Source organism: Homo sapiens, chromosome 4, assembly GCF_000001405.40.
Source record: "Homo sapiens chromosome 4, GRCh38.p14 Primary Assembly".
NCBI lineage: Eukaryota > Metazoa > Chordata > Mammalia > Primates > Hominidae > Homo > Homo sapiens.
The window spans coordinates 149,499,013-149,522,355 of record NC_000004.12 but is presented as its reverse complement, the minus strand read 5'-3'; the positions used below and the strand labels follow the sequence as shown (position 1 = coordinate 149,522,355).

Here is a 23,343-nt window from a genome sequence, read left to right as displayed (position 1 = left end):
GGGTTCCTGGAGCATAGCATTATTTTCCTTTGCATACTTATGGTCCTTTATATCTTGGCAGACAGGGCCAGCTACTGGTTACTTTAAGCTGTGGCAATCTGGATAGTGGTGGGGTGAGCAGCTGTCCTGCCCTATGAATTGGCAGGGACTGGCTGGTAGTGACAGGAAAGGTTCCAGAGGAACTAGAATAACTCTGTCTGTTCCATGGTAGTCTTAACAGCAGAGGCTCTCTTAGCATCAGATGTCAGAAACTCTGGGATTATCTGCTGGCTCCCCTGTAACACCCCCAGTGAGAGGGAGACTAGCATATGCTCCCTGGAATTGGCAGCCTTTTGTTTCTAAGTTTTGTATCACTACTGGTGCAGCTCTGTCAGAATAAGGGGTGGTGTTTTGGTCCTTGTCCCAGGAACCTCCCCTCAGCATTCAGTGTTTCTTGCGTTGGATGCAGGTGTCAGATCTACTGAGCCCTGGCCTGAGCCCCGGATTTACTCATGCTCTCCAGGCCCATCTTGTCTGGAGACAAAGCAAGCATTCCAGTCAGTTGGATGGCAGTGGGAGAGGACTGCAGGCATGAGTCCAAAGGCCAATATAACCTGACTCATTACCTTCATTTCCCAAGCTGGAACTGAGATACTATTAAATTCATGTTTGTCTCAGTCACACCCAATTAGTCCAGTGAAGCCTTTAATGCTGTCGCTGTTAGATACTTAAGTAATAGCTTATGCTTTGGAGAAAGCTTGGTCAAATTATTGTCTAAAGGGTCAATTCATTTCAAGACTCCTCAACTGAATGACATCTGGATTACATTTTGACATAAAACATCTGACCTATTCTGAGGAAGCTTGAATGATTCAAATATTTAAACTGAACTAAACAATTACTAAAAGTAGATTGATTTTTCTGTCTCTGAAACAAAAACTGATTTTTTTTATGGAAATTGTGAGTAGGTAATAATTTGCATGGTAGAAAAAAGAGGAGAACATTTTTTAAATGCATTTTTCCTTTTATTTTTCCCCTCCCTCCCTTCCGCTTACCTTGCCTTGACTTCCTCCCTTCCTTCCTTTTTTCCTTTCTTTCCTTGTTTTTGTTCTCCTTCTCTTCCTTTCAAATGCATGGGGGCTAAGAAAGATGAAAAGGAGGAAATGAGCTCACAGACTAATTCTTTGTCACCTCTTGTTCTCCAAGTAATAACCTGATTTAAGGCCTTGTTTAAAGAGGGTCTGTGACCATGAACAGAAAGAACTATTCATGAATAATTTGATGACACTTTGGGTAAGAACAGATTCTTATGGACCCAAGTGAGAAACTGCAGAAAAGAGTGGGTTAGCTAGCTGTCCTGTTTTAGCTCTGCATCATCACAGAACTCAGGGTAGTTTGGGATCCTGCATAGAAGCCACCAGCAGAGTGTTGCTGTGCACAGCAGAGCAGCGAGAGAGGCTGGGGTGCTTGAGAGAGTGCAGTTCCTATTGGGCATATGAGATAGGAACAGTGTCCCTGCAAAGTAGGAGGCAAGGTGGAAGAGCTAGAAAGCATTTTGTCTACAGGTATGTGGTATATCTTCTGGAGACTCTAACATAACTGGGAAAGACTTTGAGGGAAGTATGATGTCTTGGCATTATCCAGATGGTAACTAGAATTTGTTCATTGAAGCTAATGAGACTGCATTTTTGCTGACAGGTTAGTGACATCTGGAGCATTCAAATTACATTTCTATAATAAGGAAAAAAACACCTGGTATATGACTAGCCCCTTGAGATGGTACATTTTAACTTTATTCACTGTTCTTAGCAACAGTTTCTTCATTTTCCCCTTTTTCATCCTCAGCACTGCTAGCTTTCTGCCAAGGAGGCAGTATTGTGTTGTTGATAAGGATTTGGGTTCTGGGTAGGCTAATGATGTAATTCATCATCACAAATAGGACATTTTGAGAATTAAAGGACAAGCCAGTAATAATTACCCTGGGACAACAGGCAAAATGGTGAACCACCCAGGAAAACAGGAACGTGTTCTTCATTGAGGTCTGGAGTCAGCCATGTGGGTTTGAGCTCTGCATCTACCATTTATGGGAGCCAGGGTGCATTACTCAAACTTCCTTTGCTCTGATTTTCTTACCTGCAAAAAAAAAAAAAAAAAAAATGGTGCCCACCTTATATACGGTTTTTTGTGGAATAAAAAAATTAATATACAGAAAGTACTTCAAGCCATGCCTGGGCTATAGATAAGCACTTTAAAATGTTAACCATTATTACCCTACCATTATTATTTAGTGGGCATTCTTAACCGATTGTACTACATATTGTTTAATGGATATAAAATAGGATAGTGGTTTTATTTTTGTTTTTGTTTTCTTTGAGACAGAGTCTCGCTGTGTCTCCCAGGCTGGAGTGCAGTGGCGTGATCTCACCTCACTACAAGCTCTGCCTCCCAGGTTCATGCCATTCTCCTGCCTCAGCCCCCTGAGTAGCTGGGACTACAGGCACCCGCCACCACGCCCAGCTATTTTTTTTGTATTTTTAGTAGAGACAGGGTTTCACCGTGTTAGCCAGGAAGGTCTTGATCTCCTGACCTCGTGATCCACTCGCTTCAGCCTCCCAAAGTGCTGGGATTACAGGCATGAGTCACCATGCCCAGCCCAAAACAGGATACTGTTTTAAAAGCATGACACATATATTAAGAGGCACATTTTTAAGAAAGCAATCTTTTTTTTTTTGAGACAGAGTCTCGCTCTGTTGCCCAGGCTGGAGCGCAGTGGCGCAATCTGGGCTCATTGCAAGCTCTGCCTCTCGGGTTCACGCCTCCTGGGTTCATGCCATTCACCTACCTCAGCCTCCCCAGCCTCCCAATTAGCTGGGACTACAGGCGCCCGCCACCACGCCAGGCTAATTTTTTTGTATTTTTAGTAGAGACGGGGTTTCACTGTGTTAGCCAGGATGGTCTCGATTTCCTGACCTCGTGATCTGCCTGCCTCGGCCTCCCAAAGTGCTGGGATTACAGGCGTGAGCCACCGCGCCCGGCCAAGAAAGCACTTTTAAGGGTATGGTCTGATTAATAGAAAAGCAAATATCATTCTTTTTGGAAGCAAAAAAATTACAATAATTTTCCAATGATTCAAAATGGTACAGTCAAACACTCACTAAACACCAGTAGAAAATGAATCACAACTTTGTGTAACACTGTATATTGTATATAACATCAAGCTGCTCTTATTTATTTGCTTTTACTCGATTCAGAAAGGCGATTTCTATCTAGAAAAAGAAAAGTAATATCTGGGAAAAATGGTCACTTGCACTGTTTGACAAGAAACCAGACCATGGGATTTAGTGTCTTTCCTCTGCTTTTTTCTCTAAATCAAATGATGGGATTTGTTATCTATTATTTGTTGTATGATTGATTTGGTGGGCAAGGAAGCTTAATATTCTCTCTTTGTTTCCTTTTTACCTCTTCCCTAAGTGTAGGAACTCTTCAAGAGTGCCTCCCTTGTTGCTTTCTATATGTTTCCATAGTACTTTCTTTAAGTAACCTCATCATCTTTCTCAACTTCTGTCTGAGACTTTTACATTTCTCTCTCTCTCTCCCTGGTCTGGCTCCTTGGCTGAACTCTCTTTTCACCTTTACAATATTCTGTGAGTCATTTCCATCTTAATATCCACTGGAACCTAAAATCCATTGTGATTCTTTCCACTTGTTTCACACCATTGAATTAGTTGTCAAGTTTTTAAAAACCTTCTTTCACAATATCTCTGACTTTCTTTTCTTCCTATTTTCCTGGCTAGTACTTTATATGACCCATGTGACTTGTAATATGCTAATGAGACAGCCCCTAAATATCCCCTTATTTGGAAAAAAAAGGATGTAAGAATTTACTGCTCTTTTCAGGCTTAATATTACTTCCTTTCTGGGGAGCTTTTATTATACTACAGGATTCCTACATATCAGAGAGACTTAACTCAAAGGAATAAACTTAAATAGTGATATTTTAGGTAGATTCGTGAGTAAGGGAATACCCTTTCACAGGTCTCTCATCTACCCAGTAAGCACTAGGGTAACAGAGACCTACTCTTATTTTGCTAAGTAAATTATGACATTGAGGCTTGTGAAATTTTCATTTCCACTCTCCTACTCCCTTCATGGTAGGAGTATACTTCCCTACATTCTTGATATTGTACTTGGCCATATAACTAGCTTTAGCCTCATGGTAGGTGAAATGTACTTTTTTCATCCTTTGGTGTTGGGCTTGGCCATGTCGCTTGCCTTGGTCAATGGGTTATTAGTAGATGTGACACCAGCAGAGACTCGAAATATGCTTGTGTCATTACTATAACAACATACCTCAACTAGTCAAGAACCTCTGTATTAGGGGTCTCTAGAGGGACAGAACTAATAGGATAGATACATGTATATAAAGTGGAGTTTATTAAGTAGTATTAACTCACACAATCACAAGGTCCCACAATAGGCCATCTACAAGCTGAGGAGCAAGGAAGCCAGTCCAAGTCCCAAAGCTGAAGAACTTGGAGTCTGGTGTTCCAGGGCAGGAAGCATCCAGCACAGGACAAAGACCTATCCTGGAAGGCTAAGCCAGTCTAGCCTTTTCACATTTTTCTGCCTGCTCTATATTCTGGGCACACTGACAGCTAATTAGATGGTGCCCACCCAGATAAAGGATGGGTCTGCCTTTCCCAGCCCACTGACTCAAATGTTAATCTCCTTTGGCAATACCTTCAGACATGCCAAGGATCAATACTTAGCATCCTTCAATCCAATCAAGTTGACACTCAGTATTAACCATCACAAGTCTACCCCTTGTCAACTTGAACCCATACACATCTCCTGAGATCATACATAATCTTCAAATAAAGACAATAATAAGGTCATAATTATGCCTAACAATACAACTCTCCTTCGCACAACTGGAAATTCACCAATCCCCAACCCAAATGCTATTACATAAAGTTAACAATACTTAAATGCTGATAAGAAGTCAATAAATCTTATGTCACATGATAAAGGGTAAAGGAAATACAATGAAGATATTTTCTTAGTACAAGTGTATACATGCACAAACATGTTTTTAACAAAAGAAGGAGTAAATATTCATGCCAATTAAGTCCTCGTTTCTGCAACTGGCTACATGGTCATAGCTGGAACTGATGACTACCTTCTTCTACTACCCATTCTGTATTCCCTTTACCTTTAGCAAGCGCCTCAGCAGGTCATGGCTTTTTTTTTTTTTTTTTTTTTCCTGGTGGAGTGACCCAAACCTTCATTCCTGAAGGGTCTGGTCATTTGTAGTCATGCCTGGATTGGATGTTGTAGTTTCCCATTGACCTTAATCACAGGTCATGGTAATACTAAGAGGTGCCCTAATGGATCTCCTGTATTCCATGCATACTCTTACTTACCTTTGTTATGGAGTAGTAGACTAATTTTGTCTTGATATTCCGGGTCAATCACCCCAGCCAACACTGTAACTCCCTTCTTAGCCTGTTGACTTAAAGGTGGAAGTGACCAGGTAGTAATCTTAACTTCCAGTTTACTGGAATCATAGTGTCTCCTGGTGGCAGTGTTCCTCCCTCTGGAACTAAGACTTCTAGGCAAGCAGAACGTAATGTAACAGGAACAGGAAGCAAAAATTTTGCTAGTGAATCACTAGGGGTGATGGTGAGAGGTGCCACTTCCACTTCTACTTCCACCCCTTGATTCCTGGCCCCATGAATCCTGGCTATGGGAGAAACAGTGCCATATATTGAACACCAATTCAGAGCATACATGGCCTTCTGGAGAACTTTGCTCCAGCCCTGAAAAGTATTGTTACCTAGTTGGCATTGTAATTGTGACTTCAATAGGCCATTCTACAATTCTGTCAATCCAGCTGCTTCAGGATGATGGGGAACATGGTAAGACCAGTGAATTCCATGAGCATGAGCCCACTGCCACACTTCTTTAGCTGTAAAGTGAGTGCCTTGGTCAGAGGCAATGCTGTGTGGAATACCATGATGGTTGTAAGGCACTCTGTGAGTCCATGGATGGTAGTCTTGGCAGAAGCATTGTGAGCAGGATAGGCAAACCCATATCCAGAGTAAGTGTCTATTCCAGTGAGGACAAACCTCTGCCTTTTCCATGATGGAAGAGGTCCAATATAATCAACCTACCACCAGGTAGCTGGCTGATCACCCTGAGGAGTGGTGCCATATCGAGGACTCAGTGTTGGTCTCTGCTGTTGGCAAATTGGGCACTAATCAATGGCCATAGGCAGGTCAGCCTTGGTGAGCAGAAGTCTGTGTTGCTGAGCCCATGCATAACCTCCATCCCTGCTTCCACAGCCACTTTGTTCATGGGCCCACTGGGCAATGACAGGTGGCTAGGGAAAGAGGCTGAGTGGTGTCCACAGAATGGGTCAACCTAACCACTTGATTATTAAAATCCTCTATTCTGAGGTCACCAGTTGGTAAGCACTCACATGGGATACATATATCTTCACAGTTTTTGACCACTCCGAGAGGTCCATCCACATACCTTTTCCCCAAATTTCTTTGTCACCAGTTTTCTAGTCATGCTTTTTCCAAGTCCCTGACCATCCAGCCAAACCATTGGCTACAGCCCGTGAATCAGTATACAATTGCTCATCTGGTTATTTTTCCTTCCATGCAAAGTGCACAACCAAGTGTACTGCTCAGAGTTCTCTCCAATCGGAAGATTTCCCTTCACTGCTGTCCTTCAGGGATGTCCTAGAAAGGGGCTGTAGTGCTGCACCTGTCCACTTTCAGGTGGTACCTGCATATCGTGCAGAACCATCTGTGAACCAGGCCCTAGTCTTCTCTTCCTCTGTCAGCTGATCATAGAGAACTCCCCATGAGAGCATTGGTGCAGGCTGAGGGAGAGAAGGCAGTGTGGCAGGGGTGGTGACCATGGGCATTTGAGCCACTTCCTCATGTAACTTTACTATTGTCTTCAGGACCTGCTCAAGCCCAGTCACATATATACAACTTCCATTTGATGATGGAATGCTGCTGTGCACAACCCACTTTATGGGTCTAGATGGGTCTGAAAGCACCCAGTTCATGATGGGCAATTCAGGTCGCATGGTGACTTGATGACCCATAGTCAAACGTTTGGTTTCCACCAAAGCCTAGTAACAGGCCAAGAGCTGCCTCTCAAAAAAAGGGGAGTAGTTATCTCCAAAAGATGGCAGGGCCTTGCTCTAAAAATCCTAGAGAACTCTGCTGTGATTCACCTATGGGCGCCTGCACACACACACACACACACACACACACACACACACACGTGTATATATATGGGAGTTTATTAAGCAGTATTAACTCACACAATCACAAGGTCCCACAATAGGCCATCTACAAGCTGAGGAGCAAGGAAGCCAGTCTGAGTCCCAAAGCTGAAGAACTTGGAGTCTGATGTTCACGGGCAGGAAGCATCCAGCACAGAAGAAAGATGTTGGCTGGGAGGCTAAACCAGTCTAGCCTTTTCACATTTTTCTGCCTGCTCTATGTTCTGGCCACGCTGGCAGCTGATTAGATGGTGCCCACCCAGATTAAGGGTGAATCTGCCTTTCCCAGCCCACTGACTCTTAATATCCTTTGCCAACACCTTCACAGACACACCCAGGATCAATATTTTGCATCCTTCAATCCAATCGAGTTGACACTCAGTATTAACCATCACAAGCTCCAAGAAGGTTAAGAGACATTAACAGACTGAAAAACAACCTGCAGCGTATAGCTGCCCAGCTATGCCCAGCCTAGACCAGATGAACCCCACCTGACTCACATGAGCTAACTAAATGTTTATCATTGATATGATAAACACATATGAGGTAAGTAAATGCTTTTCATCCTATGCCTCTGATAGTCATTGTTTGTTTCACAACAATAGCTGCCTGATACAAGTTTCTGTAAGATTTGTTTAGCTTCAAATAAGCAAAGTATTTTAGTATGTGATACTCATTAAGAAGGTAAAGTGAATTCATATAATTTACAGATGGTCATAATAATGTTTGAGGAGAAGAGAGGAATCCTAATATATATTTAGCATGTTCTTTCACAATTAAAAATCTAATTCAGCAGATCTCAAATTTTCACGTGATTAAGAATCACTTGGGCAGATCATTTAAGGAACAAATTCCTGACTCTAACCCTAGCAAGTAATTCATTTGTTTTGGGTCAAGTACTAGGAATCTGTATTTTTAATTATTACTCCCAAGTGGTTATAATGCAGTTAGTTTAAGAAACATTGGTTTCTTTTTTTTTACATTCTTCTCTTCTCTTTTTCAAGATGCCACAGAAACAAAAAGTATAAGATATATTTGAGTGACACATAAAACAAACATAACATAGAAAATGAAATGATAAGGGGTCTATTCAGTTCATTTATACTCTGCTGAATCTTTTTGACTATTATGAGTTGAAGATTGAAGAGCAACATTATCCTAATATTTCTGGTATCTAGGAGTTTATGTCATAAACTTGGCATGCTTTAATTTTTATTTTAGCATTATTTCTTTTTAATACCAAACAATTCTCCAGAGACCTCTTTTCAACAACCAATGTTCCCTTTGGCAGTGAAATCCACTTACCTTAACTGATTGTGATTATACTTCAACCTAGTTCTCAGAGCCATGATGGTAACATTCATTTTACTCTCCCAAAAGGCTCTTAGTATTCATTAAATATTTGATTAACATTGTCTAATAAAGCTTATAGAATGCAGAAACATGAAACCTAACTCCACCATGATTTTTACTTCTGTCTCTTTCATTAACACTATGAGTTGCTTCTCTAAAATAATTAAAATCCATAATTGAATACACTAGAATAATTTTGGAAAATTAGCTTAATTATTCTAGTACTTCCATTTGGAAAGCTTGCATTATTTATTACAACTAAATGGATAAATGTGGTCCTTCTTTTCTTTTTTTTCATTTAACATTTACTATTTATAAGGGAATATTAGTTTTGTATATTTGTATTGTTTTCTAAAGGAAGTGAAAAATAGCCTTAAAGCTAAGTTGACAAGAAGAACATAAGGATGACTTGGGCACTATAAATAGGATGAGTACACTAACTACAGAAGTCTCATTCATCTTCAGGAATTGGCTCATTATACTCTGAAATATCCAGCTCTCTCTCCTCACTGAGTATATTTTCCAAGTTTTAAATTATTCCATACCCTTTAGAAGCAAAATGGAATATGGGAAATGGTAAATTTTTCAAAGATTCTCTTTGGAATAAAGAGACTAGATTTTCTTTCTCTGCTAACTTTAGGCTTTATGGTTCACTGGTAACCTAGAGTGAATTTGGGCTACAAATAGTTCACTAGTCTGCATTAGGCCTGTAGCTGAGCATGGCATCTAGGACACAGCTTGGTTATTTATATAACAGAAAAACTGGAGGTGTTTTATGGACCCAAATATAAGCCTAAATAAGACATTGTAAACTTAGATTAAATCCCTCTTTGTTATATTCACATAGAAATCCAAGCAATCATACTGTAGGTAGAGGACAGTATTTTTATTAAAAACATTTCAGTTCAGCTTTATGAGATAAAAGTTATTCAGAACACTGACGACTATAGTGACTTTATTTTTTTTGAAACACATATTTATGAGAAATAGCAAGGGCCTCAATGGGAATTACTCAATATTTTAGAAGGTCTGGGGTTCACCCAGTCAGCAGTAATATGAGCTGCTGGGTCATAAGTCACAAATATGCTTGGATTTCATAATTGTAAGTTTTACCTCTGGCTTAGTAGAATAATTCAACTGTCTGCACAAAATCAAATAAAAATACTCAAACAATTTAAAAGAGAAAGAAATTAAACCTAATATAAAATGTCAAAAGCTGTCCATTAAAATTTATATTTGTGAATTCTCTCAAGTTAAGCTAAATAAGTATCTGTAATAAAGAGTTCTACAATGCCACTGCCATCTTTACTACCAAATTTCTTAGCTTAGCATTTGAAATAAAATTTGCAGAACCAGGTTGTGGCATGGTATCATGTCAGTGCTGAAATCCCCAATTTCTATACCATTTTCTCCACTTTCTTTGATATTTCTATTCCCCATTCCCACACTGCCCCCCCAACCCCTATAAACTACTTACTTAAGCTTTCCAAGGGAAGCTGATCAATGGAATAAGAGTACTTGATTTATATTTCCCATGAAGTAGAGCTCATGTTGCTCTGGAGCCTAAGGGGTTGACCAGTCAGTGTTGACAGCCACAAGGTGGCCCATGAACAACTTTTTGGAATGGACTTAACCTTTTAAAAAGTTTCATGATTTTTTGCAGTACATGACACTATGGTCATGAAAGCAGAGGCCCTGTCTGTCTTGTTCACTAAGCACCCAACACCTAGGACTTAGGATGTATCTGGCGCAAAGGAGGTATACAATAAATATTGATTGAATAAATGAATGAATAAAGGCATGCATAAATAATTGAAAATTAAGAGCAATAAACACAGGTTTTTGAGGGCTACTGCAGTCAAGACATTAGTATTTTGAAGCAACATGTATTTATTTGTTTATAAAATATTTACTCAGTACACATTATGCAACAGGCACTATGCTAGCCTCTGGAAATACAAAGGAAAGAGGATAGACACTATCACTGCTCTGCTGTAATGTGTAGTCCAGTACAAGATACAGAGGATTATAACACACAATAATAAGGTCTATGACAGGGGAGGACAACATGCCATGGGAGCACAGAGATATGTCACCAGACCCAAACTGGAGATCTCACGAAATACATTTTTTTAAATGTTTAATATTTATTTATTTATTTATTTATTTATTTATTTATTTATTTATTTAGAGACAGGGTCTCATTCTGCCACCCAGGCTGGACAGCAGTGGTGTGATCTCAGCTCACTGCAACCTCTGCCTCCCGGGTTCAAGTGATTTTCCTGCATCAGCCTCCCAAGTAGCTGGGATTACAGACATGTACCACCATGTCTGGCTAATTGTTTTTTTTTTTGTATTGTTAGTAGACATGAGGTTTCACCATGTTGGCCAATCTGGTCTCAAATTTCTGACCTCAAGTGATCCACCTGCCTTGGCCTCCCAAAGTCCTGGGATTACAGGCATGAGCTAACGTGCCCAGCCACAAAATACATTTTAAAAAGTGATATGTAAGTTGGTATCTGAAGAAAGAATAAGATTTAACTCAGCGAAATTAGAGATGAGGGAGAGAAAGGAAGAATATCATAGACATGTCAGAATGAAGCTGAGAAAGATACTGACAGTGACATCCTCTATGGACTTAACTTAGGGGTCATGTTAAGGAGGCTGGCCTTTATTCCATAAGCTATGAGGAAGTATTTTAGGAAAGAAACTCAAAAGTTTAAATGAAAATTATGCATTTGATTATAAAAAAAGTATGCCTTTAGTGACTTGCTTTCAAATAACAGAGTATAGAAAGAGACAAGTAATAACTTAACAATGGAGAAACCTGGCTAAATGATCAAGGTTACTACCATCAGTGATGTTGTGTGGATAGCAGGTACTGCCTGATATGATGTGATGAGAAGGGCACTCTATGACACTATATCTACAAACACATAACCCCAGTCTAATTATGAGAAAAATATCAGACAAATCCAAATTTAGGGTCATTTTATGAAATACTTGACTAGTATTCCTCAGAACTGTAAAGATCATGAAAGAAAGCCTGAGAGACTATCATAAACCAGAGGATACCAGAAAGACATAACAAATAAATATAATATGGCATCCTGTATCAGTAATATATCAATACTGATATTTATTAGATTTAACAAATGTCTCATGATGATGGAAGATGGCAACAGGTGAGGGGATTTCAGTATTCCCTATACTATCTTTACAATGTCTCTATAAATCTAAAATTCTTCCAAAATAAAAAATGTTTATTGTAAAAGAGTGAAAAACAGTGTATGGCTATGACATGATAGATTTGCAAATAATACTTGTAATACTTGGGATATAAATATTTAAATTCTATACCACACAAAGATTCTTTAAATTGATAAGAGAAACACAAATAACTGACTAGAAAAATAGGCCAATTTTATTATAAAGAATTTCCCAGAAGAGTACATTCGAATGACCAGTAACCATGCTCAGTCTTACCAGTAGCCAGAGAAATGCAGATTAAAACAATGAGATAATCGCTTTTTAACCCAGTAAATTGTTAAAAATTTAAAAGAGTGGTAATTTCTGGTGTTAACAAGGATTCCAAAAATTTAGCATTTTCATATATTGCACGTGGAAATTTTGCTATATTTTTGTGGAAATCATGTTGGCAATATATTAGAATATAATATGCATACATTTTCCTAGCAAACAGACTCATGCTTTCTGCTTCTATGATTTCATAAAAGTAAAAGTTAGCATAAAATAAGGGTAGATATTGCAGTGGGATTTTTTGAGCAACAAAAAGTATTGAAATGAAAAGAAAGTTATTAATATGAGAATGATGAAAAACAGGTGAGTACATTGGACCAAAGATTCAAAGCAATCATTATGGATGAATTAGAATCAAGGTTTGGGAGGCTTTCCAGAGTATTTTACCAAATTCGAAAAAAAGATATAGATAAATATATAAAATACAATTGCCTTTTATAAATTTAATGATATATATTTATATACACAGTGAAAGTGGAAGTCTCGATACCTTACACTAATTAAATAATTTTTGCTTTCCTCCACTAATAAGCAGACTTTTCTCAGATCTCCCTTTCTTGGCCTTAGATTATATCTTGATGTCAGATTTCTTGTTTTTTTCCAGTCATATTTTTAGATAATAAAAATCTAGGCTGGGTGTGGTGGCTCATGCTGTAATCCTAGCACTTTAGGAGGCCAAGGAGACCAGCTTGGGCAAGATAGCAAGACCCCATCTCTGCAAAGAAGAAAAAAAAAGCTGAGCATAATTGTGCATGCCTGTAGTTCCAGCTACTGGGGAGACTGAGGCAGAAAAATCACTTGAGCCCTGAGAGGTTGAAGCTGCAGTGAGCTATGGTTGTGTCACTGCACCCCAGCCTGGGCAACAGAGCAACACCCTGTCTCAAAAAAAAAGAAAAAAGAAAAAAGAAAAAGTCAAATCTAATCTAATATCAAAACTTCAATCTCCCAAACAGTTCAAATTGCCTCCCATACCCCTAGCTCAGGCTGGATCTTGGCTTCTGCAAAACATATTGAGGATGATGAAGGGAAGGCTGGTATATTAGTCTGTTTTCACTCTGCTGATAAAGGCATACCCAAGACTGGGCAATTTACAAAAGAAAGAGGTTTATTGGATTTACAATTTCATGTGGCTGGTAAGGTCTTACAATCATGGCAGAAGGTAAAAGGCACATCTCACATGGCAGCAGACAAGAGAAGAGAGTTTGTGCAGGGAAACTCCCCTTTTTAAAACCATCCGATCTCCTGAGACTTATTCACTATCATGAGAACAGCACTGGAAAGACCTGCCCCCACGATTCAATTGCCTCCCACTGGGTCTTTCCCACAATGTGGGTATTCAAGATGAGATTTGGGTGGGGACACAGCCAAACCATATCATTCCACCCCTGGCCCTGCCTAAATCTCATGTCCTCACATTTCAAAACCAATCATGCCTTCCCAACAATCCCCCAAAGTCTTAACTCATTTCAGCATTAACTCAAAAGTCCATAGTCCAAAGTCTCATCTGAGGCAAGGCAAGTCCCTTACACCTATGAGCCTATAAGTCAAACACAAGTTAGTTATTTCCCACATACGGGTACAGGCATTGGGTAAATACAACCATTGCAAATGGGAGAAATTGGCCAAAACAGAGGGGCTACAGGCCCCATGCAAGTCTGAAATCCAGTGGGGCAGTCAAATCTTAAACCTCCAAAATGATCTCCTTTGACGCCATGTCTCATGTTCAGGTCATGCTGATGCAAGAGGTGGGTTCCCATGGTCTTGGGTAGCTCTGCCTCTGTGGCTTTGCTGGGCACAGCCCCCTTCCTGGCTGCTTTCATGGGCTGGCATTGAGTGTCTGCAGCTTTTCCAGGTACATGGTGCAAGCTATCAGTTGATCTACCATTCTGGAGTCTGGAGGATGGTGGCCCTCTTCTCTCAGCTTCTCTAGGTGGTGCCACAGTAGGGACTTTGTTTGGGGGCTCTGACCCCACATTTCCTTTCCATACAGCCTTAGCAGAGGTTCTCCATGAGGGCCCCACCCCTGCAGCAAACTTCTACCTGGGCATCCAGGCATTTCCATATATCTTTGAAATCTAGGCAGAGGTTCCCAAACCTCAATTCTTCATTTCTGTGGACTCGTAGGTTCAACACCATGTGGAAGCTGCCAAGGCTTGGCAGCTTCCACCCTCTGAAGCAGCAGCTCAAGCTGTGCCTTGGCTCCTTTTAGTTATAGCTGTAATGCAGGGCACCAAGTCCCTAGACTGCACACAGCAGAGGGACCCTGGCTCAGCCCACCAAACCATTTTTCCCTCCCAAACCTCTGGGTCTGTGATGGGAGGGGCTGCCGCAAAGGTCTTTCACATGCCCTGGAGACATTTTCTCCATTGTCTTGGGGATTAACATTCAGTTGTTTGTTACTTATGCAAATGTTTTCAACTGGCTTGAATTTCTCCTCAGAAGATGGGATTTTTTTTTCTATTGCATTGTCATGCTGCAAATTTCCCAAACTTTTATGCTCTGCTTCCCCTTTAAAACTGAATATCTTTAACAGTACCCAAGTCACCTCTTGAATGTTTGCTGCTTAGAAATTTCTGCTGCCAGATATCCTAAATCATCTCTCTCAAGTTCAAAGTTCCACAAATCTCTAGGGCAGGGGCAAAATGCCACCAGTCTCTTTGCTAAAAGGTAACAAGAGTCACCTTTGCTCCAATTCCCAACAAGTTCCTCATTTCCATCTGAGATCACCTCAACCTGGACTTTATTTTCCATATCGCTGTCAGCATTTTGGGCAAAGCCATTCAAAAAGTCTCCAAAGTTCCAAACTTTCTTACATTTCCCTGTCTTCTTCTGAGCCCTCCAAACTGTTTCAACCTCTGCCTGTTACCCAGTTCCAAAGTTGCTTCCACACTTTCAGATATCTTTCCAGCAGCGCCTCACTCTGCTGTTCCAATTTACTGTATTAGTCTGTTTTCACATTGCTGATAAAGGCATACCCAAGACTGGGCAATTTACAATAGAAAGAGTTTATTGGACTTACAATTCCACATGGCTGGGGAGGCCTCACAATCATGGTGGAAGGTGAAAGGCACATCACACACTGGCAGTAGACAAGAAAAGAAAGCTTGCGCAAGAAAACTCCCATTTTAAAACCATCAGATCTCATGAGAACTATCATGAGAACAGCATAGGAAAGACCTGCCCCCAGGTCCCTTCCACTACATGTGGGAATTCAAGGTGAGATTTGGGTGGGGGCACAGCCAACCTTATCAGCTGGGTAGTGATGCAGTATCATTTATTCTTTCACTATTGCTCTATCTTGTTCTTACCTTTCCCCTCACACTCTTGCTGCTTCTGACACTGCAGTGTCAGAGCAGGAAGGGGAGATAAGAGGTAACCAGGCAATGGCTGATGTTATTGGGAATTTTTTCTTGGTTCCTCTATGCTGTCTGTCATAACAGATGTCTAACTGTTGCTAGCTTTTTCTCTTAGGAATTATTTGTGGATTCTTTAGAAACACTACTACCTCCAGCAACCTGGTACTATGGCTTTTTATATTCTACCTTTTTCTAATTTGAGTGATACACGTTTAGTCTAGCCTTTTATTATTTTCTCTTAACTTCTTTCCAAAGGGTATATATCCTGGGCCCTCTCCTTCTGCCAAGCACCCTAAAAAGGGATCCTTTCAAGGCAGCTTTAGCTTACTTACAATGATAGTATCACTTGACATGGAAAACTTAACCTCTTGCCCCACATCTATGGAAATGTATTTTACTCTTGTTGCACTCTTCTCTCCTTATTCTGATGTCAGGGAATTCAAGCAGCTTTTAGTTTTATCATGTATTCTTCCAAATTCTTGTAGGGATATATAATATTTTCAAAGAATCCTTTTGCAATAGAGGTAGATGAAGGACTAGTTAGGCTAATGAGTTTCCTTGGGTTATCAAGCATCCATCCAGAAAATAACTGTGGCAGAATCTCCTTATGCACATACCCCTGAATGTTCCCAAGGACTTTATGGCCATCTTCCTCGTTCTCCACTCCTGCTCTTGGCTTGATAGGTGAGAGGGCAGCATCCACTCCACTAGTAGAAAGAGGAAAGGCTGATTCACACTCTTTTAAGTCAGTACCTCTTTGTATAAATAAATCTTCATATGTAGGCTAGATCTTGTGGATAAGTAAGAGTCACAGGCCCAGTTGTATTCCCCTTTTAGAAAGCCTTGTAAAAATGTATCCAGGACCTTTCCTTAACAAATTTAGAATGTTTTGACATTTACTACTCATCATCTTCTGCTTACGGCTTCAGGCCAGTGTCAGAGTACAGGGTCAATTCCATTTAACATTCTGTTATGTAAAAATGTGTACATGATTATATAAATGTGGGGAAAAGTAACAACCAGATTTTTTATATTGATTTTCTAGATAGAGAATGGAGAATGGAGGGGTGAGAGAAAAGAAAAAAGGAAAACAAACGCATTCACAAATAACAACAGCATTTTAGAATGATCTCTAAATACACATGTTTGATGGTGTGATTATATAGACATGGAAAAATGAAAGAAGAGAAGGTCAGCAACAAACTGTTTCTGGTGATTATCTCAGGATGGCAGGATTTCAGATGATTTATACTTGCTTCTTTATGCTTTTCTTTATGACAGTGTTTCAAAACATTTGTATATGATCAGGTAAAAACTATAGAGCAACATTTTAAAAAATACAAGTTTTGGGAATCTTAAAGAAGATGAAAAATTTATCTTTCCAAAGTTTTCAGAGCCTTTAATTTGGTAACATATATTGGGAAACTCTAAGAGTATTCGTCAATACAATGTAACTATAAACTCTCATTTTTAAAGTATAGAACACCTTTAAGAAACTCTACTCAATAGATATGTCAAACAAAGATTATTTTAAAATTACATCTAGTCATTGATGTTCTATAACTGAGCAATTTCTGTTTTCTTTCGTACGTATGTTTGAGGTGATATATTCAGAAATGTCAATGTTATGCCCGCTGTCCCCCTTTTTCCCATTATAATATAATGGGAGCATAATAATAGGGATCTGAGCTGCCATGTGTAACACTATAGGTTGCTGTCTTAGTTCACTTGGACTACTATAACAGAACACTATAGACAGGGTGGCTTATGATCAACAGAATTTTTTTTCCTCAGGTCTAGAGGTTGGGGAATCTATGGTAAGCTGCCAGCAGACTTGATGTTGATAAGTGCCTGCCTCCTGGTTCATAGACAGTCTTCTTGCTGGGATAAAGGAGCCCTCCCAGGGTCTCTCTCTCTCTCTCTGTTGTTTTGAGACAGAGTCTTGCTTTGACACGATCTCAGCTCACTGCAACCTCTGCCTCCTGGGCTCAAGCGATTCTTTTGCCTAAGCCTCCTGAGTAGCTGAGATTACAGGCACCTGCCATCATGCCAGGCTAATTTTTGTATTTTTAGTAGAGACAGGATTTACCATATTGGCCAGGCTGGTCTTGAACTCCTGGCCTCAAGTGAGCCACCTGCCTCGGCTTCCCAAAATGCTGGGATTGCAGACGTGAACCACTGCACCTGGCCCCCAGTCTCTTTTGTAAAAGCACTAATCTCATTCGTGAGAGTTCTGCCTTTATTACCTAGTCACTTACCAAAGGCCCCACCTCTTAATATGGTAACATTGTGGGTTAGGATTTCAACATATGAATTTGTCACAGGGGTCATGGGGGGTGGGTGTGGGCTGGGCGGTGGGGATTGGGATTGGGAGAGGGGAGCACACAATCATTCAGTCTGTAGTATCCCCATTTAGAATAGTACCTGACACATAATTTGTAATCAGTAAATATTTATTAAGTGAATAAATGGATGATTTGTCTATATTGTTCTTAAATTCGGTTGCACATTCATTTTGCGCAGTAATTTTAACATAGAATTGTTTAACTATTTAAGAGTAAATCATTTTTAAGTTTTTTTAAATTTATACTGTCAAATGTGTTTGGAGAAAGACTATAACATTACTATATTACCACCAGTTGTGTATGAGACTATCCATTTCTTTTCACTCTGGCCATCTTGGGGTAGTATCATGCTTTTTAATTATTATTAATCTGATAGATGAAAAATGGTTTCAGAGTATTGTTTTAATTTTTTTTTATTCATTGGCTAGTAAGAATGAGTCTTTTCTGAAACTTACCACTTTAAATTCCTCTTTTGTTAATGGTCTATTTGGGTGATTTGCTAATTTGTTTAATTTGTGTGATTGTCTTTTTTTCTTAATAATTTGGAAATGCTCTTTAAATGCTTAGAAAAATAGCTTTTTTCTCCCTCAAAATTCCAGATGAATTTCATCTCCAATTTGATGTTTATGTTTTTATTTAGATGGTGTTTTTATATGTAGACATTTTGATGTGAACATGTCCCTCAATTCACTGCAATCTACATGAAATTTTGCAAGTCCTTAACATTTAAGGGCTGATACAGATTAAAAAAAATTTTTTGTCTATTTCATTTTAGTTTTTAATATTTTAGTCATTTAGTTTTTGATATTTTCCTGTGGTTCACTGGCATATACCTTCAAAAAAAATTTATAGAAAAATACCTTATATCCTAGATTCTGAATCTTAGCATTCAGATAATGTAAGTCTTTAGCATTTACATGTCTCCTACAATTTGGCTGCACATCAAAAATTTTCTCTAAAAACTCTATAGGTGTCATTTAATTTTATTATTTAATATTTGTTGGGACAATTCTGGAGCCACTTTGATTTTGGTTCCCCTCATCCTCAAATGTCTTTAATCTGGATGATGAGGAGAGTCTTTGTCTTTAAAATTTAAAAATATCACTGCTATGTATAGCCGTGTGTTATTTTCTGCACTAATTTTCTCAGTTTTTAGTAAGCTCTTTAGATATGCAAATTCAGGCATTTCTATAGGTCAGAAAAGATATTTTAATTTATTATTGTTATTCATATTATTGTATTTAATTTTATTTGTAGAGACAGGGTCTTGCTCTGTTGCCCAGGCTGAAGTGCAGTGGCATGATCATAGCTCACTGTAACCTCGAACTTCTGGGCTCAAGCAGTCCTCCTGCCTCAGCCTCCCAAGTAGCTAGGATTATAGCCACATGCCATCACACTGGCTAATTTAAAATAACAATTTTTTTTTTGTAGAGTTGGAGTCTCACTATATTGCCCAGGCTGGTCTTGAAAAATCTTCTCACTTCAGTCTCTCAAAGTATTAGGATTAGAGGCATGAGCCACCGTGCCCGGCCTACTTTTTTTTTTAATCAAATTTTTTCTGGTATTGTGTTTAGGAACAACACATAGCTGGCAATTGGATACTGATTTTCTAGCCTTTAGTTTATTTGGCCTTCCTCTGATTGCTTGTACATTTTCACTCATTCATCCTCTACATTCTGTCAGGATGATTTGACCGTTCATTGCTCTTGGCACATATTTCAGTTCTTCAACTGCATTTCTTCCATTTCTCTCTCTATTTTATTTGTTTGTTTGTTTGTTGTTGTTTTGTTTGGCTTGGTTTTTGAGAGAGGGTCTCATTCTCTCACCCAGGCTGGAGTGCAGTGGCGTGAGCATGGCTCACTGCAGCCTCGACCTCTAGGGCTCAGGTGATCCTCACACCTCAGCCTCCTGAGTAGCTAGGACTTACAGGTGCATGCACCATATCTGGCTAGTTTTTTGTTTTGTTTTGTTTGCAGAGACAGGGTCTCCCTCTGTTTCTCAGGCTGGTCTCAAACTCCTGGGCTCAAGCCATCCTCTCACCTCCACCTCCCAAAGTGTTGGGTTTAAATCATGAGCCTTTAAAGGCATGCACCCAGCCTCTTCCATTTCTCTTATCTCATTGTGCTTTTACAATTTTTCCTCTCAGTGTGTTTTATTTTCTTTACCATTTTATTTTTCATCTCTGGTTTAAGAATCCATTTATTTTTTGAATTTTATTGTGAGTACAAAATTGACAGATTTACAATTTTTACTTTTGTTCTCAATAATAAGGTACTTAGGGAAAAGTACATACATACATATATATGTGTGTGTGTGTGTGTGTGTATATATATATAATTATAAAAAATTATTCATTGAATGAGAGAAATCTATTCATGGTTAGTAATTACCCATAAGTGGTTTGATGTATTCTCACTGTCTAAATTGTTGCCATAAAAATTTACATAACCAGTGGTGTATGAGCCTAAGGTGAATCGAGAGGGAGCTAAAGTTATAGGAAGTTCAAGCAGGGGAAATTCCTTATAGAGAATTTTCTTCTTAATGAAACTGATATATTGGGAACCAGCTTTCAGATGATGTCTTCTTTTGGTCTCAGCCTTGCACCAGGGTCAACCTTCCTGATCTGCTGCTGCTCCATTCATCTGCACATAACTGTAGCCCTGGGTCTTGCAGGGCAATCAATTTCCAAGTGGCAAACAAGAGTCTAAGTGGGCCATGCACTGTTCATGACTCCAGTGTTTATTCTCCAAAGTTAGTTACCGGTTTTTCCTTCTTCCTGATGTTTCTAATGTTTCTTAGCAGGATAATTTGGAGATCATTTCTCATTTCCTATCTTCAATATTATCTGTACTTTTTTGTATAATTTACTACAGATTGTTTTTTTGTTGGTGGACCCTCTCATGGTTGAGCAGATTTCCCTGTTTTATTTTTTTACATTCTATGGCTCATTTCAGTAGGAATCTGGAGCAATGAGCAGGCCCTTCATGTTACTAGGAATTTTCTGTTATCTAGATGGCTGCAGTTTCTTCTGCAATTTCTAACAGGAGTTTCTTACTGTCCTGATGAACTTCTGGAATCATTCAAGTTGGTTTTATTTATCAAATACTGAATATCTGTTATATTTCAGGCCCTCAAGATACCAAGATGAATTTTTAAATATGCTTTCTTCCAGACAGAACCATCTAAATGGCTAAACAGCAAGAAAATTTACACACAATGTGATTAGTTCAATCATTCAGGTATGGGAAAAATATTTCTGCAGCTCCTTAGTGGAGGCAATAGGGAGAATATAATTGTAAGTCAAATTGAGATTAGTTGGAAATGCAGAAGCAATCAGGAAGGGCAAAGGAAAGTCACTGAAGAGGGAAGTAACCGCATGTGAGCAAGCCAAAATATGGAAGGGAAAAAGCTTTAAGTATTTCATGCCAAATAAATATAAAGAGATTTTTGTCTTCCAAAAATGGATAAGCATGACTTCTGTGTCTTCTTTCAAGTCACTGAAGAGCAATATTGCCAAAGGAAACAACCTCATGGCATAGAATAGCATAACCATCAGGATTGGTATTATGTCATTGTTCTATCTCTTTTTACATTATATCCTAAAATATCATGTGATTTTGCTGAATATTTTAACGAAATTGTCTTTGTGTGTCTGGGCTATTCATCTATTCTTCTAATAGAGAAACTGTACAAAAAAAGGAACTAGTATTGATTTGATTTAGATTTTCTTACTGACCCTAGGTGGACTGCTTTGATTTCCACTCTTTTCTTCCTAAATATATACAAGCCATCTGCTTAAAAACCTGTCCCAGTATTTTCTTTTGAGATTGATGTCAACATTTCTATGGTTTCTGGAGCCCAGACTTAAAATAAAAGGGATGAGACACTTTTTGCCTATCTCAGTCTTTTGGTACCTTTTCAAGTTTGTATGGCTTTTAAAAGTTAATTTAAGGTAGGATGTGTTCATATCTGAAAATGCCTCAGCCATCTCTATTTCAGTAATCTGGGTCTGAATATTTGAACTCTTTTCATACACTTAAATGTTAATTTAATTTCTTCTCTGTTATCTTGAACTTCAATTCACTACATCTCACAGATTTTACTTCTTTCTAGATGAATAGAAAGAAGGTTTATATTATTTAAAAGATACTAACTTAAGCCTGTGAGTCATTTGACACTTTGCTGTCTTGGATCATAAATAATTATGCCAACTTTTAGAAGGGCAGAATGTAAATTGTTCCTCTGCAGAGATCTCTCCCACTATTGATAAGTTCAGACTTTTCTCATTTAATCATTTCTTATTGTTATATTGGATTCTTTACCTTTCAAATACTAAATGAAAGGTCATTGAACACAATTTCTTAACCAAATTGTATTTGGACAAATTAGAAGCTTATTTATTGGTTGCTCATTTAAACTACTTTTCTCCAGAGACAGCTGGAAGGTCTGCTAAGCTTCGGCTGTTGCCTTGGGCTAGCTGGGAAAGAGACCTATGTATTCTTACAATGGAGTGCATTATAGGAAGTTGTTGAGCAAGGAAGGGTCAGACACAAGAACTTGCGTAGTCTTGAGGCAGTTTCTGAGGTATTCTTTGTATTCCCTTGGCTCTAATATTGGAATAAAAATTATATCCCAAAGTAATCACAACTGACTTTCTGTCTACTATTTTAGTCAGTCTATGTTTCCTTTCTTCATTACTAGGGATTGTGTAGACATCTTGAATTTATTTCCAGGCCACCACTTTAATTAGTATCACATTACTGTAATATAAGGTTTGGATTTTTTTCATAATGTCTTTAAGATCTTTCATTTCTTGCCTATAAGGTATATAGGTGTTATCTTAGATGATAAATAAGGACCATTTCTATTAAAAAAACTATTGTAGCAATTTTTGCTTCGCTGAGGTAAGCTGTTAGTCATCTGCCTCCAAAGGGAAATCAGCTAGATTTTAAATATTGCTGTGTCTTTCTGGTTTTATAATATATTTTATTATCCAATATAGGTTCAGTATCTTTCCAAATTAGAGTTACTATGTTTACATTCTCCTTTACTAAGGCAAATTATTTTTTTCCTAATATTTTAATGAAAAAAGTATTGTTTTCTTGAGAAAATTAAATAAACTAAATAAAATTGTGGTGATTGTATTTTTTATTTCTAGCAAAAGTAGCAGGTATATGCACATGCATGTATATTTTTAACTTAAAGAGTAATATATGATATTCAAATAAGCATTGGCACCTGACATTTCCTGTTCTCTGCATAACATCCTCCCACCCCACATTCTGCTTTCTAGGAGCCAGAAATTGTGTTAGTATTCCAGGGACTTTTGGAAAATTGAATATATGCTTTCTCTGCTTTATTTTAAGGAGACTAAATCACAGTCTCAAACTTTATTTCTATTTATATATCACTTGTAAACACTCAAATATGCTGGTAATTACAAGTTATTGAACAATTTGAACTT

The 23,343-nt window shown here is 38.6% G+C and overlaps 1 protein-coding gene and 1 long non-coding RNA gene across 16 annotated transcripts in view; one reads left to right on the top strand and one right to left on the bottom strand.

Annotated features, from left to right (window-relative positions):
• Positions 1-23,343, top strand: part of IQCM (IQ motif containing M) — a 464,135-nt gene that overhangs the window by 293,488 nt on the left and 147,304 nt on the right. The window lies entirely within an intron of this gene.
• Positions 1,092-5,476, bottom strand: LOC105377479 (uncharacterized). The gene is made up of 3 exons (XR_939327.1): positions 5,403-5,476; positions 1,958-2,112; positions 1,092-1,119 (listed from the first exon to the last, which is right to left on the bottom strand). It is a non-coding gene; the product is annotated as an uncharacterized LOC105377479 (long non-coding RNA).